The sequence below is a fragment of the Homo sapiens genome, chromosome 7 (genome assembly GCF_000001405.40).
Source record: "Homo sapiens chromosome 7, GRCh38.p14 Primary Assembly".
NCBI lineage: Eukaryota > Metazoa > Chordata > Mammalia > Primates > Hominidae > Homo > Homo sapiens.
This window is the reverse complement of record NC_000007.14, coordinates 125,885,614-125,888,689: the sequence shown is the minus strand read 5'-3', so window position 1 is coordinate 125,888,689 and position 3,076 is coordinate 125,885,614.

Here is a 3,076-nt window from a genome sequence, read left to right as displayed (position 1 = left end):
CCTCTAAAATGGTGAAGTTAAAAAAAGAACCTAATTGCAGTAATATTACCTTCCATGTATGTGATGTTTGAAAAATTGGAAGCTTATCAGTGGAATAAGAACTTATTTAAGAAAAGAAAAGATGGATTGTGACTAGGTGCAAAAATGGTTGGGAGTGGAGATAGAGTTTTATTGTTTTGCATTTTTAAATCTGTTCATATTTACACTAGGATTTTATTTTGTGAAAATGCATTGAATGGAACACTCACGATTTTATGCAGTTTTTTTATATGTATGTAAAGTGTTTATTTTAAAAATCGAGGTGATAAAAGAAGAGAAATAACGGCAGTGAATTTAGATAATTCTTTCCAGAAATATTCTAAGGGGTATAGAAAATGGAATAATGGCCTAAAGAAAGTAATGCTTTTTACAGAAAACATTTTAAAAGTATACAAAATAATAACTGGCTGCACATTGATGGAAATGAAATACATGGGAAAAAATGATATGGGAGAGAGAAAGGGGAAATGTTGGATTGACCCTCCTGACCTTGAGGGAATGAGGAAATGGGATCTGGGACAGTAGAAAACACGGTTTTACATAGAAATCAGGGTATTTCCTCTATGTTATCTGTGTAGTTCACACTGCAAATCTTTCACACTCAAATGTATCTAAATCATTCTTGTAATTAAAACTTCAGTGTATATCATTCTCCAAGTAAATGGTTTTCTTGAATTTAATATCTGTTCTAAAATATACTGTTTCCAATTTGTAGTCTTAAATTAGCATCTTCCATGTTTTATGATCCTGTCTCTTAATTCTTATATTTTATATGTTTCCTTTACATTTCTACAGAGCTCTCTTTCAGACTCAATCTTTTCAACCTGTCCTCATTGAGCAGTCATTTCCTTTGCATTGATCTATGCTTTACGTAACTTTAGTTTACCCTCCCTATATACTTTGCAGCTCCAAGCTATCTACTTTGACTGATGAGATCCGAACAGAATTCCAGGTGGAGCTGCATCTTGGTATTTTAAAAAGTTAAAAATAAAATATAAAATAAAAATATATTTTTTATTTTTTCATTTATGTAAAAAGTTATGTACTTTTTACATGTTTTATTATGTAAAAACATATGTAATAACTGTTTTTTATTACGTAAAAAGTTAAAATATAAAATAAAAAAATTTTATATTATAAAATATAAAAATAATATAAAAGCATTTTGTTTATTTTCATAAAACTTTTTAAGGGTGTTCAACATTTTGTGGACCTACTTTTTCTTTTAGCATACAGTAGCACATTGAATTAGATGTGTTCAACCTAACTCAATGTGTTATTATATTGGCTTATATTATGTTCATCTTCACCCTCTTTATTTGGCCAAAAAATATTTATAGATCACTGCTCAATAAACACGCCACCATGATGTAGGGCAGTGTTTTTAAAACCTGACTATCATCTGGCAATGTATGAAGAGAGTGTTCTTGAAACTTCCCTCTCTTTTCTCAAATCCAGACAGTTGGCAGCCTCTCCATTTCCATTTTACAGGTCAGCTACTACCCCCCGTCATTGACTGCCCCATGTTTACACTTCACATTGTTTAAGATTTATCCTCTAAAACACTAATTATACTATTCAAAATGTTTACAATTTTCAAGGACTCATCAATAATAAAATCAGACAACGACAGCAGCAATGTACTTGACATTAAGAACTTCAACTTCTGATTCCTATAGATTCCATTTTGAGAGTCTCCCATCTTACAGAACTTTTTCTAGACTCTATATACTTTGTGTCTCTGCTTTTACTGCCTGTTCACCTTCTTTTTCCTGTGTAAAGAATGACACCCCTCTTTCCATTGGAGATTAGGTTTCAAAATACGAATTCTGGAGGGACATAAAGATTCAGTTGATAGCAATGCCCAAGCCCCATTTTTTTCTCTTCGCAATACTACCATTTCCATGAAGCTATTTATTCCTTTTCTACATTATTAACTACAACCACTTCTATTTCCCCTTAGCACTTTGTATATATCACAATTGTAGCGTTAGACATACTGTATAATTCATTTATTTATTTTACTAACTGTGAGTTTGTTGAGGTTAAGAATTTAAGCTCTATTTGTATGTTCTTTGTCTACCACAGTGCCAAGGAGATAGCAGCATGCTCAATAAACATTGATTGAATAAATTCATACCATGTATTTCTTGGATCTAAAACTATCTCTGGAAAAAGGAAATTAATTAATTACTCCTTACTTTTTAAATTAAACTTTGTGCTAAAAATCTTCTATTTATTTTAATTGTAGAAAGCAGAGCTATGTTGACTAGTTGCTCCTTTAATTCCATATACCACAATCCTCATACAATGACAGTAATCACAGATGATTTCTCCTCCAATTCTTAACTCTTACCCTCAAACTCCTGCAGTCATGGAATCTATATTTTATCATAAGTTATACCAATTTTCTAAGTATGGAAGGACAATTTTAGTCTGATGGTTCCTTCTACCTAATATTTCAGTAGAAATCATAAAGGCAATCAGTTTAACAGATATGATGTACTGACACAATTTACTAACATCTGCACAGTTTTTCTTGGCATTCTTTCAACTATCTTAGGCAAGTGCCACATTTACATCTATCTACAGGTAATTTGTCAAGTAGGTATATAAAAACAACTTTTCTAGAGGTCTTGATATTGGTCACAAATCTGATATAGTTAATTATTTCTATATAGGAATCATTAATGTGTTTTAATAATTTTGAAGTAGAATTGTTTTAATATTTCCCCATTAGAGAGCAAGGAAAATAATTGTTTGTTCACTGCTTTAATGCTCATCTTGGTTTGTTCAAGCTGTTATAATAGAACACTACAGACTGAGTGTCTTATAAACAACAGAAATTTATTTCCCACAGTTTTGAAGGCTGGAAAGTCCAAGATGAAGTCACTGGCAGATTTGGTGTCTGGTGTGGGCCTACTTCCTTATTCAGAGACAGCTGTCTTTTCACTGTCTTCACATAGTTGAAGAAGTGAAGGAGCTTTCTGTGTCTCTTTTTTTTTTTTTTGAGACGGAGTCTCGCTCTGTCACCCAG